Genomic DNA, 17351 nt, shown 5'->3' on the forward strand with positions numbered 1-17351 from the left:
TATTGATAGTGTGATAGGTCCAAAATTTTGACATTTTAAAACTTCAGAACGAGGAGCATTTTGGAGACCTTAAATTCAGGAGGGACCTTCTAGGAGGCCTGCATTTTTCCTTTTGTGTTTTAGAGGAAACCAGGAAATTCTGAAGAGTATAATAAATCAATATGTAGTTTAGACATCTGTGTTATTCTCTGGGTACAGATTAGTTAGGCTGTTGCAAGTCATATTCCCCTATTTCACATTAGAACAACCTGCTGTTGGTACATGAGTTAGCATTACACTATGAGCAAAACATGAGCAGAGGAATTGCAAAGTTGTATTGGTCCTTGAAGCAATGAATCAGAGCTAAAGTGACAGACTTTACCAGCAGCATATTAAAAAATGCCCTCTTGTAAAATTTACCATGATTATTTTCAGACAAACTGTGCATCCAGGACACATGGATGATGACAAGATCATGAACATTATCTCTGAATATGAAAGGCATGATGTGCGCAACTATCAAAGTGCAGTTCATTTTAGAATAAGTGGTATTTTCATGTAGTTGCAGGGCAAGACAGGAAAAAATAGTTTATAAAGGGAATGAAGTTGTGGATCTCTGACAGCTGATCTTTTCAATCTATGTGAAAATACCAGTTGTAGCAGCAATGGCAACAAAAACTACTGATTTCTCTTTTTATTTGAAAGATTCCTTAGACACTTTAAGCGGTTTTACCATAGGATAAATGGACTATGCTTTCTGCTTCATCTTCAGGTCTCCAATTAGGGGTGGGTTGCCCCTGTTTGAGGAGTCAGTATGTGGGGAATACTATTGATGGCGTACACTTAGAGACTGACCTTCTGAATACCTTGTAGGTCTTATCAAAGTAGTCACTGAAATTCATCCATTTTATAATTTTTCTTATGTTTCTTTTTGCATGAACCTCCTCAAGTCATCACCCACTGCCCCAGAAAAAATCACTCTGATGTTGGAGGCTAAATTCATCATTGCATTTGTAAGCCTAGAATCAAGGGAGTTATTACTGCTTTTCTTCACAAGACTAGCTCTTTCATATGCGTTTTCCGTGTATACAAAATGCCTAAACCATTTAAGCAGTATCTCATAGCAAGTGACAAAATATGTTCTGTTTGAAGCACGATGCACAGCTCTGGTTGTTTTGGGCCTGCTTTATTTACATGTTCAGAGTAAGCCTGGCAAATACAGGTTGAATGTCCCTAATCTGAAATCCAAAGTGCTCCAAAATCCAAAATTTTGAGTGCCCACATGATACTCAGAGAAGTATTTCAGATTTTGGATTTTCAGATGCTCAACCAGAAAGTATATTGGAAATATTCAAAAATCCGAAATCCAAAACATTTCTGGTCTCAAGCATTTTGGATAAGGGATACACAACCTAGGCATTGCATTGATTGCCTAAATGGAAATCTGGAGCTATTAAAATTTTTGGAATGCATTAGTTTACTTTGAAAGTAAAAATTGTTGTAGTGTGCTCAAGCCTAAACTGCAGCAAATTAATATAATCAAATGAATTTAGAGCATAAACAAAGTATTCCTAGGATTTTTCAGAGTTGGAATTTCATGGTTGCTTTTGGCTTTAAAATGAAGCTTATTGAAATTATAGTAAAAATACAGTAACAGGGAAAAATTTAACAGTTTTGGTAAATGGAAACAATTTGTCTCTGATATAATTTTTTTTTCTATTTCTGTTACTCTCTCCCATTTTTAGGGCAGTATTTTAACCACATACTTTTATATTGGCTTTTTTTTGAAAGATCAAATATTTGATGTTAATTTTTGTTTGAAGTTGTGAAGGCTTTGCTGGAAAACTCGAAGTTCCAAATGTGACATTTATTATATTATTATGTGCCCTTACTAGGGAAAATTGAATATAAATAAGTGTTAATGAGCGTGCTGGTTGTCTTATAAGGAATAATTCATTAGAATTCGGTATATGAGAAAAGCAGGTGGGGAGATGATAAACCATACCACATGAATATGCTGGACTTTTGAAATGACAACAATAGTAAGGGAACAATAGTACATTCTTGAAAGATAATTGTAATTCTTTCAAGGCTCATGAACTGATCATTTTGCTCCTAAGGCGAGAAGTTTGTGGTGATTAAATTATGGACATATAAAGCATGTTCATATTTTTCAATAAAATTCTATATGATATGCTCCGCAAATGTGGAATTGTTTTGGTGGATGAATAAATATTAATCTTTGGAAGTGGCTAAATAAACATTGAATGTCCAAGGTGATTTTTTTCACCATTTATCCTAAAGGAGAAACTTACGCATACATATATGCACAAAAACACACACCATACATCCTCAGGGAGATTGTTTTTTGGTTTCTGGAGATCATCAGACTTCTGGTGATGCTGGTGTAGGAAGTGATTCTAGTTAGTTTTATATAGCTGTTGCTTTATATTGTAAATAAAATAGTACTCTGGGACACTGGAGGAACAATTAGATCAAGTAAAATCAGTTTTCTTTGGTCGAAGAAAATAATTGAGTGAAAGCTCTTGATATTGTGTGTTTAAGAAGGAAAATGTAAAGTTAAAGAAGAAGAAAATGGATATAGCCCAGAGATAACCTAAGGATAGGATATGGAATACATAGGTAATATGGCAGGAATGGAGAGTTATCTAACTGCATGTCCTCATGTCTCCAACATGTGCAAGATATTTTCCGAAGTATAATTTTTTTTTAATTTATTTTTTAGAGACAGGGTCTCACTCTCTGTAGCCTAGGCTGGAGTGCAGTGGTATAATCCTAGCTCACCTCAAACTCCTGGGATCCTCCTGCCTCAGTCTCTAGAGTAGCTATAGGATTATAGTTGTGCACCACCATGCCCAGCTAATTTGAAAATAAATTTTGTACAGAGAGGGTCTTGCTGTTTTGCCCAGGCTGGTCTCAAACTTCTGGCCTCAAGAGATCCTCTCAATTTGGCCTCCCAAAGCCTTGGGATTACAGGCGTGAGCCATCACTAAAAATATTTTAACAGTTTCCTCGAGTGGTTCTAGTTGTGGATGTCCAGTAACTTAACTTGTTTTTACACAATCTGATGCTTTTATTAGAAAGTATTTCCTGAATGCTTAACATAATTTCCCTTTACTCAATTAAACTGTACCATTTCTAGCTGGTGTAATTACAAACATACTTAAGAACCTTTCATGGTTTTGTTTCTATGCGGATTTGGAACTTTCATGGTTTTGTGCCTATGGCCTCTTTAAAAAATATAGGACATATCTAAAATGAATAAGCAATAAGTAAGGAAAGTTGAAGCACTCCTAATGTATGATAGGACAGAAAAGACAAAGATTAAAAAATAGACTAAATTTTCTTATGGCTATAAACCTTTTTCCTATAAACGTATTTGATTTTGTAAAACAGGGAAGTTGTTGGAGTTTGATGTATGTATTGCTTATGTAGTTATATATATATATATATATATAAATTATATTTTGCTTTTGTTATGTTTAGTGGAGAAACGATAACTAAAGATAATTTTTAGGCATTTTTTAAGACTTCTAACTGCAGACAGTTTTTTAGAGTTGGAACAAACTTTCTGAAGTATCATAAAGCAACTCTTGAAATTAAGAGTAAAGAGATAATTGATGGCCAGATGCGGTGCCTCACGCCCATAATCCCAGCACTTTGGGATGCCAAGGTGCGTGGAGTGCTAGAGGTCAGGAGTTCGAGACCAGACTGGCCAACATGGTGAAACCGCGTCTCTACTAAAAATACAAAAATTAGCCAGGCCTGGTGGCAGGCACCCATGGTCCCAGCTACTCGGGAGGCTGAGGCAGGAGAATCGCTTGAACCTGGGAAGCAGAGGTTGTAGTGAGCTAAGATTTTACCACTGCACTCCAGCCTGGGTGACAGAGCAAGACTCTGTCTCAAAAAAAAAAAATTTGTTTATCTCCTGTCTAAAACTCTTCCCTCTGTGACTTCATTATTATGGATGAGCCACCTTCTTAAAAATCCTATTTTGAATCACAGAATTAGCATATTCTCTCAGTCATCTACCCTCTCACCATCTTATGAATAAGTATCACTCCTGTTAAGGCTTGAAAAACTGAGACAGGGAATACCTGTATATAGATATTCAGTAAATATTTCATGGCTTCGACAACAAATAACACTTCAAAATGAACATCATAATGTAAAAGGCATGTTGTTGCTAAGACTATAGGTTGAGTACTAGACTATACGAGTTTGAATAATTGCTCTACTGTTTACTAGCTAGATATGCTTATGCAAGTTATTTAGACTCTTTCTGTCTCAATTTCTTTATATATATATATAATGAGCATAACAGTAATCTTTACTTCATGTGTTGTTGTGAAGGTCAAATGAGCTGATACATTCAAAACATTTAGAAAACTTCCTGGTGCAATAGAAAAACTACCTGTTTGGGTACTGTGCCCATTACTTGGGTTACAAAATGATCTGTACACCAAACCAGTGGCACACACAATTTACCCATGGAGCAAACCTGTGCATGTACCCCCTGCAACTAAAATAGAAATTGGAAGAAAAAAAAGGAATTTCCTTGTACAAAGTAAGCATTTGATAATAATCAGCTAGTGGTCATAGTAATTTTAATTCATATAAAATGTCAGTTTTGTTGTCAAGGGAAAAATTTTCACAATATGATATACAAAAGTTAATGCAAAAGTAATGAACTTTTGGTACATGCTACAACATGGATGGACTTGACATGCGAATGGAAGTAAGCCAGACAAAAAGGCATCAGTATTTCTCATCTCCCTTTTTGCTTTTACTTCCCATTTGCAACCCATCTCAAGAGAGGACAATGGAAGGAAAGGGGTAAAAATAATATTTAAGAAAGAAACAGGAGAAAAAGTAAAAGAAAAAGCAAAATAGTGAGACAGAGGAACAGTTGCAGGGGTCGTTAATATGCATTTTCCATGGTTCCAAGAGGCTCCTCAATTTTATTTTCCCTGATTGAAACTTCAAAGAACAACTTTTTGATTAAAAAATTAAATTTCCCAGTAATTGCCAGCCTGAACAAGATGTGAATTGGCAGACCCAGTGGTAGCTTCTAGATTTACTGACAAAAGAAATATTCTGGGCTGGTAGAGCAGACACTCAGCTGGTGAGTCAGCTGACTGAGGTGCCTTTATCTGTCTTTCTCTACTTTGCCCAGTCCTCTGAGAGTGTGAGACAGCCACAGCCCATAAAAGAAGTCATTTGGTAAACATCTAAGGGTTGGATTTAGAAAAAATGGAGGATGGTTTGGGTCATAGGATTTGGGATACAGTAAGAGGTCATAAAGGCAATAACTGGTTAGTTGTACGTAGAGGCTGTGGGCACAGTTAATTTGTGTGGAGGAAAAGAAGAATGATTTGATGCTCAGATGTTTTTGAGAAAAAGGTTTTTATATTAATGTTGGAAAAAACCCTAAAGATAACTTTAATTATGTACTACAAATAAATTGTTTTTAACTTTATATTTTTTCTTAAATTTAGGGTGAAATTGAATTGCTTTTGTCTAATTATTATGAAATATGACTTCTTATACTTTGGAAAATAAGAGTTATGGTTTTGAAACACTAGAATACAGTTGTTTTTGATTTGACTCATTTTATTTGACCTAAAAAATAGAAATTAGGTTATGTATGATTATGATGAATGGAATTTTCTAGGAAGCAAAATTGGTTCAATCAGAGCAATTATTGTTTTTCATTGTTGTTAGCCCAGAAGCAGTAGGACCAGTCTTTGTGTTATTCTTTACCGATGTCTCTCTAGATATTATAGTCAATTTGCTTTATTCAGTGGTGAAGGAAGCATTACAGGATATGTTGTTATATTATCAGAGAGTTACATGTGGATAATGGTAACAGCCACAGTGTCTGAGGCTAATTTTTCAGGAAAAGAATTGACTAATTATTAAAGCTTTTCTTATTTAGGCAATTGCAGATAATTTTGTATCATTGAATAATTTTTAGTAAAAGTAGTTCCCCTCTATTTTGGAAAGGAAAATTTAAGGAAACAATAGAAGCTCAGAGGAAAGATTGACTTTTGAAAAAGTAAATATTACACCTAACACTTTGATGAAATGTACACCTAACTAATACCTTTATCCAGAAGGAAAATTGCATTTGTCTCTGACACTTGAATGGAAGAACAGTTTAAAAAATGGTTTAATAAAGGGTATTACCTTTATTTTTTTACTGATATTTGCTTTAATAAAATTATATTTAATTAAATTATATTAGATTTTAAATTGTTTTTGAAATGAAGGACATCCATTTGTAATTACACACAAAAATATTTTTTATTTTCTCTTTTATCTCAGTTTTATCTCCTCAATTTTCTCAATTGGTATAATGGTATAAGGAGAAACATAAATTATGATTTTTCTGTAATTATTCTGAAATAGAAAACTTCTGAAAAATTGGTAGACCTTGAGGAAATATTTAAATGATGCCATCTAAAGATGATGCTGAGTAAAATATTCATTATTCTTTATAAACAAAATTACAGAGTAGATGAAATTTGTCTTAATTCCCTTGTTAGCTTTCCTCCCATTCATATAATTCCTATCACCCTATGACCTCCAAACACACACACACACAACCCTGTATCCGGTTTTAACCATCTTGCAGGGGTAATAACTAATTCCTTACTACCAGTGAAACCTGATAAAGGTTTAGGTACAAAGTCTATAATGGTTTATTTGCATTTTATAAAAGGAGAAGGGTGGGGAGGTTGGCAGATGAGATTGGAATCATAACAACTTAGTGAAGTTACCTCTGGGTGGAGTCCTTTTGATATTGCTTACTTTCCCTACGAAGGGCTATCAGTGCTGCTCTCCCACAGTGCACACACACATGCATGCACACACACACTCGTGCAAGAATGCATGTGATAGTGGAACAAATAATGAACAATGAACTATGTTATAATAACTCTGAAAAGGTACTCACTCAGCTATAGTCTGACTTGAGCTTTTTCTCTGACTAGATTTTTTACCTCAAAGGCAGTTGTACAGACAACACTAGTAATCATTGTAAATTAAATTCTTTCTATTGTCACAATCTGGCAGTGTTAAGGACAATTTCAGTTCACTGCAGAAAATATATTTGAAGGATATTTTCCCAAATATTTGAGTGAACTTCCTTTTTAGAGTAATTATTTGTTAATTTGAGAAGTTTCATTTAGATTTTATCTATACAATAAGTTGTCAGCTAAAGGTGGACAAATAAATAAATAATACCATAAAATTTTAGATGTATGTTGCTTGTGCCCCCCTCTACAAAGAGAAAACAGTATTATGAGAAATATCATAAAGCATATCAAAATGGAAATATCTCCCCAGTGACTGCTGTGTGCTTGAAGTATCTAGCACTAGTCTAGAAATAGCACCTAGGGGAGGAGATTCTGTTAAATTGTGAATATATGTCTTGAAACCTGTAAGACATTTTGCCATGGCTCGAAAGTGACAAGTTTGTGCCTAGTTTATTATTACATTAGTTGATTGTCATGTTACAGAGTAGACAACACAATACTGAGGTAAAAAGAAATAGACAAGAAGGCTCTCATTTGAAGCAAAACACAGTACTGGCCAATCCCATAGCATCTTGATCTGTCAGCAGCCCCTGTTGGGAGTTGGCAGAAAGATTTGCACCAAAGAGTAAGTTTCTAAGTGACACCAAAATGTTCGGTGGGGATGGCTGAAGATCTGACTGACTTCTTAAAATTTTTCTTTAGAGAGTTGTACCTAGGTGTCCATTAAAAAATATTGCTGGAGCATGGAGGGTAGGGAAGCTGATAGTAGAACCTCAGACAAATGATATTTTGAAGAGACAGTGCAACAGACTGAACATGTAGCAGTATTTTATTGAAAGGTTTTATTAATCGAATAAAAATGAGAGCATGCTACATTTTAAACATACAACTCAAATTAACTGCTAGAAAAGTGAAAACTTGGTGCAATTGTTCTGAACTTAACCAGGTAAAGTGTTTGCTCAGCCTGCAGATGGTGTGAAACACTTGGCATAGTTTCTGGACTCCTGGGGTGAGAAGTGTGAACTCTGAAACAAGGAATGGCAATGTGGTGATGATCTTAGTGGAGACAATGTGAGGGCAGAGAGGGGAGAACAGGAAATGCAACTTTCCATACCTAAAGGAATAGTGTGCTTTACCTGCCAGCCTGAAATGACAGTGACTGCTGCAGTTCTAGATTTTCTACATAGTTGGATACAAAAGAAAGGAACAATTCCTGCCTCTGTGCCAAAACTTCCATATTCCTTAGGGTTTTGACAAGAATTTGGATTACCTTGACCTAGGGAATAGGAGTGAGGATAATCACCATCCGTCTCTAGCCCATGTGAGGACAGTATTCCCATCAGTGTCACTCGCTGTTGTATCTGAGAGTCAGCAGTATTGAGTGAAGGAACGACCTGAAGAGAGCATGAGAAGGTACATTCACACCTTCACAATATGTGCGGATTAGGGATCTACAATCTTTGGTGAGGAGAAACTGCTTTTTATTTCCCTGGACCTTTATTTCAACCTGCATTCATTCAACAGATGCCTTCTGAGGACCTCCTACATATTATTGACTGATTTGTTTCTCTGGCAGCCTACTATTATAGAGATAAAAGTTGTCATCACTCATGGGAGGTAAAAGAATGAACATGGCCTCCTCCCTAGTTGAGTACTTGAAAGGCAGACATGAGAAACATGATTAAATGAATAATTTTTAAATGTTGATTTTCAATATTGATCTTTGAAAAAGAAGTCAAATGTACAATATGGATACGTGATGAACAGAGGAGTAAGTCTGCCTTGTGATTAGGGAAAGCATCTCATTTGAGACCTAAAGAAGGTACCAGTGCTGATAATAAAGTAATAAGGAGGAAGTGCTGACATAAAACATATGCCACTGTTATCTGTATGCCCTTCCATTCTGAAAGACAAGAGGGATGGAGATGAATAATGTCCCCAGTCCTCAAGCAAAATATTAGTCTTGTTTAATGGATTATACTTGAATACAGTATATAAATCTCTCTACTGAAAATGTCTACAATGAAATGATTTTGACAATTGAATATGTAATTAAATTTAAAATATTTATCTGTGCTTTCTACAACAATTTCAAGGAAGTGAGGCATTATTATCAATGGAAGATATTTTGTTTTCACAAAGGATTACTACATCCCTCATTAGAGACCAATCTAACACAGATAACATGGTACTTTTTTGATGGCAGGTGTTCAGTGCGTTCACTGAATTGAATTGCAATTCATATTGTGCCACATTAGGTTCCTCACAATTAAGCATTTTCATGTTGAGTTACAAAATTGCCTACTTTCAGGGAATAATGTATTCAACAGCTCTCAACTATCTTGCATTGTCTAGGAGTGGAACAGAACAATAAATCTTGGATCTTGATCACCAAGAAATAATCTGGTTAGGATGCTGTCTTTGGGCAGTTCTACTTTAGATATGAGGCAGCCAAAGAGTTAAGAGACTTGCTCTAGGTCCCAGGCACATTACATATTTTTATGTGTCCCTTCTCTCATAAAATAAAAGTGCTTACTGCCACCCTCAAGAGATATGTGTCAGGTTCTTATACTCCTGTGGGATAAGGTTAAATCATTTCAATAGGTCTTGCAGGAAATCAGTGGCACAGCTGTTTATAAAACCTAAGATGTTTAACCCTGGGTGACTTTTTGAACCCTGCTCTTAGTATCAAAAGCAAATACTGTGATTCATTTTCATCTACATCAGTGTCTGTCTGAAGCCTTAAAGAGAGAAAAGGTGTCACTGATCATAACATATGAATTAGAAACCATAAATGAGTAAACTGCTTCTCAGTACAGAGAACAAAGTACTTATCATTTACCAATATGATGATATTGTATAACGAAATGTATACTTACAACTATCATTAGGAAATCCCCATTTTAAATATTCCTTGAGGCCTTAATAGAAATGTGATTTCTTAACAGGTACCTCCTTTAGCCTATGAATCTCTAATTTGTCTTTAGGTTAGAATATAGGTAAAAACTGTAAAGTGTACCTTTTTCCTTTTCTATTTTTTTGTTTGTTTTTTGCTCCTCTCTTTCTCTGTGCTTTGTGTCCATAAACTGTCACTTTGCTGCCTGTGATTTCCTGGTTTTTCCCCCCCATGGTGTAGTGTAACCAAGGCCTCTTTTGTGTTGCACCCTAATAAAGTGTACAAGTTGAGCATCTACCCTTTCTTGGTATCTTTTTCTGCATCGTTTTTCCCTTTCATCTTTGCTGTGATAATCTGATAAATTAATATTCTTTACAGTTTTAATGACTGCTAATAGATTAATGCATCTTAATGACTGTTAATGGCTTAATGTGCTGCACCTCCTGGGTAAAATGTTTGCATTTTAAAAGGGCTTTTTAGAATCCTAACCTTATTTAAAGACATGACTCTGTGAGTATCCAAAACCTGTTGACAAATCACTTAGGAGAAATACCATGTTAGATTTTTTTTTCACATTTTAACATCTCTGAGAACAAGAATGCATTCTTAAAATTGGTGTGATTAAAAAACACTGCATCATAGATTGGAGGCATTTTTTATTTCATTCTTAGTGATGCATAAAATAATCATATGTCTTAAAATCAATGACATTGTAGATTTGATAAAATACAGTAGCTATTTTTTTTTTTTTTTTTTGGCCACCGTTGAAATCATACCTTGTGGTAGATGGTAATTACCTCCCTTATCGGATTTCACTCACACACACACACAAACTCAATTCTGTATCCACTAAACACTCATAAACATATCCTGGCACCATCGAACCATGACATTCTCTAATTGGCTGCTGTGGAAGCTACAATTAAAATTTTAGGGTTTTTTTGAGCCACAGCGAAGAATGCTTTCTAAACTTGGCTTAAGACATTTGTAAGAAATCTGCACTGGAAATGACATTCTATTTATAACATCTATTTGCTATTTTAAAAAATGTCATTTATAATACTTTGGTTCCTCTTATTCTGTCTCACTTTGCTTTGAGGGAGAGAATGATAAATATGAGTAAACACCACAGATGAATATAGTGTCTTGAAGGACTGGTGATATTTTTAAAGATGAAAAGGCTTTGTATCTGTAATTACTGATCATGTGATACACAATTTCAAATAAAAGAGTTAATTTCGTCCTTTCTTTTTGGAAGACATTAGAAACAGTTGCAGAAGAAAAAGCAAGCTCATCAACAACAAAAAAACAGTCAGAAAATTGGCTAAAATTCAGCTCTTTGTGCTCTTGAGACTGAAAACCATGGCTGAAAGAAAGCTTTTCAATTTCCTACCACGTATATTCATTGCCTCCTTTTAGATTGGTTTACTTTTTTGAAGCAGTTAAGTAGTAGTATTTCTTGGCAAAAGAAACGTGTTTAAACAATTCTTTAAATTCTGTTACTTATTCTTCCCACTTTCCACTCTTCTCCATTGCTCATCCCATACCACCAACTTCACATTCCTGCTTGGGTTATGAGGTATGGGCACTAATGTATATTCCTCTAGGGTATCTTTTAATTTTATTTTTATTTAAGTTCAACATTGAGATAGTGGAGTTAAAGGATTTTTTAAAAAAATATATAGTAGCAGTCATATCTTCACTGTTTTATTATCAGTATATATTTTTCAGTATTCTTTGTGAATAAGACTTTAATGTAGCTTCTATCATTGTAGTCTTATATTAAGAAGTCTTCCAAGAGTTTAAAAGTAGGGTTGAATTTTGCAGAGCCACTACTTAGAAGATTACCAAATAAATGCTGAAATGTGAAAATATCAAAACCAATTATTTTCTGGACTTCTTAGTATGTATACCAATTACATACTAAGTCTTACATACTAAGTTTTACATACTAAATTTACATACTAAGTTTTAGTACAACTAGAAACTATAGTTTTGTGAAATGTTAATATTACTCCATTAGCTCCTTCTTAATATCTTATCCTGAGAAATGCCATGTGACTTAGCAGGCGCATCTAGAATAATGAATTAAACCATCCAGCTCTGAGTCAGATGCTAATTAGAGAAAGGACTCCTCCCAAAAAATAAATATGAACATTTTCAACCATATTTGCATATTTATCCTGGATTAGTATATTTCATATTAACACTCTTCAAAGAGAAGTGACCTGAGTGAATAAGAATTAGGATAGGAGACTATTACTATGGGAATAGAAAAAAATCTGATGAACCTGATTAAGCATTGGTAACTAATGGCAAGAGAAGTTTGCTACACACAATAAAGAGGACTTGAGGGGTGTAGATATGAAAAAATGTAGTTTCTTTATATTTTTGCCTAGGGCTAGCCCAGGGGCTTTAGAAATGGATGGCTATACTGTGGCTGACAGCAGGGTTGCAAAAATTAAGGTCATTTTTATGTACAGGTCTGTATTTTTTAAACTCTTTGACTGCGTTTTCATGTAAAACTTAAGTCCTTTAGCTGCCATGTTGTCACGAGAAGGAAGGAAGTATGTATTTAGAAGGTACTCATAGAAGCCCGTCAGACCAAGGATCTGTGAAATATGGTTTTGTCAAGAAAGGCACCTCTGAGTCTATTACAAGTACAATACAATGTGGTCTGTAATGAATCCCCAACCCTAGAGAGTTCTAAATATAGAATAGATAGTCAGGTCTTTGGATGGTTTAAGCATTAAACTGCCTAAAGGAAAGGATCTCCTCAGATGACCTCTCAGTGCCCCTTGCAGCTCTGTAATTCCAAGTCTGAGACAGTTGGCTTATGACGTGCACTGAGCATATGGATGTGCGCAAGTATGTTTAGTGTATATATGTATATATAGATGTGTGTATGTATGTATATATATAGATGTGTGTATATATGTATGTATATATACATATATATACCATAGAGACGTTGTGTTTAATATTCGTAATGTTCCTTTTTTCTTATCCTGTTATATCCTGCAGAATTTGTGTTTTTTCTACCTTTCTCTGTGTATTTGCCTTATATACAAAAACATATACCTATTTACTTTTGCAGTTGAATAGCCAACACATGGAGCTCTTAAACGTTTAGTTTCTTCATTAAGCATTCTTACAATTTTATCCCTGATATTTTCTTAACAGAAAAGCTATGTGTGTCTGTTTAACTTTAAATATTGTGGTAAGAGGTGAAAGGCATATTTTCAATATAGTATGAGTTTTGTTGTTTACTAGGAGAAAGAAGTGTAAAGCATATAGTTTAGTTTGGAGACCCAGGATATTTACAGATACCAGTAGAGAAGGAAGATGTGGGATAGAATTAATATCTACTTGCATTTTGTTATTGTTTGTGGAACAATAAAAGGTTTTCTGGCATAGTCATTCTGATAGCGGCATGAGACTGCAGAGGATTAAACATTTATGCATTGTGATTTGGCTCTGAGGCGTGATAACTACAGTTGGTCGAGAAACTGAAGTACAGAAATGCCATGTGACTTAGCAGGCGCATCTAGAATAATGAATTCAACCATCCAGCTCTGGGTCAGATGCTAACTAGAGAAAGGAGTCCTCCCAAAAAATAAATATGAACATTTTCAGGCATATTTGCATTCAAGATGAAAAGTATAATCTGCTCTGTCATGAGTCCTGGGACAGGCATTGTACAGAAAGCTCAAAGAATTGTACATTGTTGTTTTAAGAACCAACACAGTAGTTGTTTCTTGCTGGTAAAATTATCCACAAAAAACTGGTCAAGGTCAGAATAGAGATTTCATCAGGATGCATGTAATTGCTTACAAATCTTTGCTACTTTTTTACTTACACTAAAGGACAAAGCATTTTCATTTTCAGCTCTCAAATATTCCTCCTCACATTTTAACACCACCGGGGCTTTCATGGATTTGTGAATATTTGTATGTATGTGAGCTTGATAACAAACATAAATTTACAAACTTTAAAAGACAGGCTATTCTTGGCCACTTGTTCCCAGACAATAGTGATAGGATTCCACTTGCCCTAAGGCCAGTTCTGGCCTGCATTTGTTGCCTTTGCCAAATTGCCATCTGGTTACTTTGTCATCCCTAGTCAGCTCTTTTATGTGATTAGGAAGGAACACTTCTTTGGGCAAGATGCTAGGTGCAGCTGTTAATTGGCACCAAGGTTTTCTTCCTAGTACTTGGAACAAAATGGTTATTATCATCAGCAGCAACTTGAAAATAGAAAATTTGAAACTCTGCTCATATGACATAAAAATATTACCAGAAATATAAACTTTATATGTAATAGCTAACACAAATTGGAAAAGAGCTTCAAAGTTTATGCTATGTTCTTTAAAAAGTCAAAACAATCTAATGACAATTTACTATCATATCTAAAAATATTTAAGGAACTTTACCTTGCCTTATAACTTCTTGTTTCTCTTTGGACTAGCTTGATTGAGTGATTATTTCTGTTCATAATGCATTAGGTTCTTGTAGGGTTTATAAAAAAGTGGAAGAAAGGGCTGGGCAAACCTTCCCAACACAGGACTCCCCAGAGAAGAGATTGACAGATGCTGCTTTTAGCAGAAGAATTGATGAGTCTTCTTTCTCCCTGTGTTTCGGGCCATTTCATAACTGCATTGTAACAATCTGAGTATGGGGGCGGGGGGTATAAAACCTGGTGTGAAGCACATGTACTAGTTTATACGGAGAATGAGATAGATGGTCAGAAAGAGGTTTTTTGCCCCCCAGTTCCTAGTGCCAAGCTGGCCTGGCCCTTTGTTGGTCAAGATCATGTAATTTATGCATAAGACAGAAGTCAAGTCCAAATTACCAAGAAGTGGAAAGGCTAGGGAGAGAGACAGCACTATACCAGTAGTGTGGGTGAGATGCAGTAAAGAGGACAAGTGGGTGTACCATGCATGGAAACTAACCTTTAACTCACTTATGCAGGGGTCCCTGCAGCATCTTGAGTTCTGGATACTCAGATATATTAGGAGAAGGAGCTGTGAGGAGATAGTGAGAGGGGCTGATAGTTATGTTTTCCAACAGTCTCCTCTCCTAAGGAGAAGAAATGGTTTCCTATGGAAAGTAGAAGCATAAGACAAGAACAGTTCTTCACAATAATCCTTGCCTTTAAGAAATCTACGTTTTCCTTGATGTGTGCAGACAAATAAAAGTAAAGCAGTAATTAAAAAATACCCAACAGTATGGTATAATGTGTTAATCTGTGACTTTTAGAATGTGGAAGTTTTCTACTATATACTAGAGACATTGCATTGAGTTAGCTTATGTAAAATTGCTGTCACTTTACCCTGTACTTATTAAAAACAACATATAAAAGACTTCATACTAATTACAAAGGCATAAAAATTACAGAATGGAGAGATTGTGTGTATTAGTCCGTTTTCACGCTGCTGATAAAGACATACCTGAGGCTGGGCAATTTTCAAAGGAAAGAGGTTTAATTGGACTTATGGTTCCACGTGGCTGGGGAAGCCTCAGAATCATGGTGGAAGTCAAGGAGGAGCAAGTCACATGTTACGTGGATGGCAGCAGGCAAAGAGAGCTTGTGCAGGAAAACTCCCCCTTACAGTAGCCATCAGATCTTGTGAAACTCACTCACTATCATGAGAACAGCATGGGAAAGACCTGCCCCATGATTCAATCACCTCCCACCTGGTCCCTCCCACAACACGTGGGAATTCAAGATGAGATTTGGGTGGGGACACAGCCAAACCATGTCATTGTGACACAAGAATGAAAGGCACATCTCTGCAATGTATTCAGTAGACATTTAGTTCATTTTTATTATGAGAAGCAATATTTCACTAGTGGTTGAGAATTTCAGCTTTGGAGCCACAAAGTCCTGGATTTGCGACCATTGCCGTGCAGTAGTTGTATGACCTTGTAAAAGACATTTACCCTCATTGAGACTATTTTCTTATATGACAAATAGGGATAATAGTAATTATCATGAAGAAAAATATGTAAAGCACCTAGTGCATCGTTCCTGGCCCATAACCGTTAATAATGAAGATTATTTATATTGCCAGTAGTGTATTGGCTGAAATACAATAGATAAAAGTAAAATTCCTCTTTTGAATGGGAGGTGATTAGCTAGGACTGAAGTTAGTAAAAAAATTTGTGTGTTGTGTTTAGAGGATCAGGTGTGAATATAAGGCAGTAGGAACAATTTAATAAAGTATGCCACCAGTATTTTCCCTTGTGTCACAAAAGTATGTAGACATGCTACATCTCTAAACTAAAAACAGGAACAAAAAACAATTTTTCTTTCCTTTCCAGAGAACAGCTTGTGCCCCACATATAACTGAATCTTAAAATAAATTTTATTAGGATTCCTATTACCACCTCAGCATGCCTGTGACACCCCATTGAGAATCTCAGGAGCAAGTCCTACATATCCGTGGTAGCAACATGTTATTTTCTAATGTTCATGATTAGTTTGTTTTTGAAAGAGTAAAATCTGATATTCTAAAATTGCATGTGTAGTAACCATGAATAAATAATTTTGAACCATTAGACTGATTCTAAGAGTCATGTATAAGAGACCCAGCTTCTTTTAGCCACCCTGGAGGCAGGAACCACTTTGTCTTGTTCACACACAGACCTCAAGTGCATAACAGGTGCCTGGCACATAGTGTTCAATAAATATATAGAGTTGCTAAGAGAATGAAAAATCTATGGTCGTACTTCACATATTATAGTACCCAGAAGATCATTCCCTAGTAGAGTGGCAAGGATATTGAATTTGGAATTGAATAGCTAAGTATGAATACAAAAGAGTTAGGGTATCTTGGAGACAGTTTTCTGTACATTGGGTTGTTTTATAGATTAAGATAATAATAGAAACAACTTGGGAAACTGTACAATTATGATACATATTCTTAAAAGTTATTACTTCACTTGAGCACCATATTACCTAGTTTTTTTTTTTTTACTTCGTTTGTAGTTTTACTCCTTTGGATGCAAACTGAGAAAGCCACTTAACATTATTTTTACATGATAACACTAATATTCCACCTAAGCTAGCGGTCCTTAAAAAGCTTAGAACACTTTTAACTGCAGGAAGACAACTGTGTATTCTTAACATGTACCTCATTTGATAAAAAAGAAAAAACATGTTAAAACATAGATGAAGAAAATATCTATTGATGCTTTTAATAAATCCTGCTAGTCTAGTGCCTAGAACAAGGAAGCTAAAGGTAAAAATATGCACTAGAAATTTTGAAATCGGGGACTTTGATTTCATTCTCTATTTAACATATTTGGTGGGCAAGATGGTCATTTAAATATGCTGTATCAATTGTAGATTTAGTAAACATTTCTTTGTTCATTCAGCTAAAATTCATTGAGTTCTTTTGAAATATGTTGATG

The 17351-nt window shown here is 35.2% G+C and overlaps 1 protein-coding gene across 35 annotated transcripts in view, besides 1 other annotated feature; it reads left to right on the forward strand.

Moving 5' to 3' along the window:
• CCSER1 (coiled-coil serine rich protein 1) overlaps window positions 1-17351 on the forward strand; it is a 1477902-nt gene that overhangs the window by 49291 nt on the left and 1411260 nt on the right. The window lies entirely within an intron of this gene.
• Window positions 7867-8370: an enhancer, noted in NCBI's record as "OCT4-NANOG hESC enhancer chr4:91105702-91106205 (GRCh37/hg19 assembly coordinates)". NCBI's record gives its function as "activates a minimal SCP1, AML or CMV promoter by ChIP-STARR-seq in primed H9 embryonic stem cells {active_cell/tissue: H9 hESC(primed)}" and the evidence as "EXISTENCE:reporter gene assay evidence [ECO:0000049][PMID:30033119]".

This window comes from Homo sapiens, chromosome 4 (genome assembly GCF_000001405.40).
Source record: "Homo sapiens chromosome 4, GRCh38.p14 Primary Assembly".
NCBI classification, from domain to species: Eukaryota; Metazoa; Chordata; class Mammalia; order Primates; family Hominidae; genus Homo; species Homo sapiens.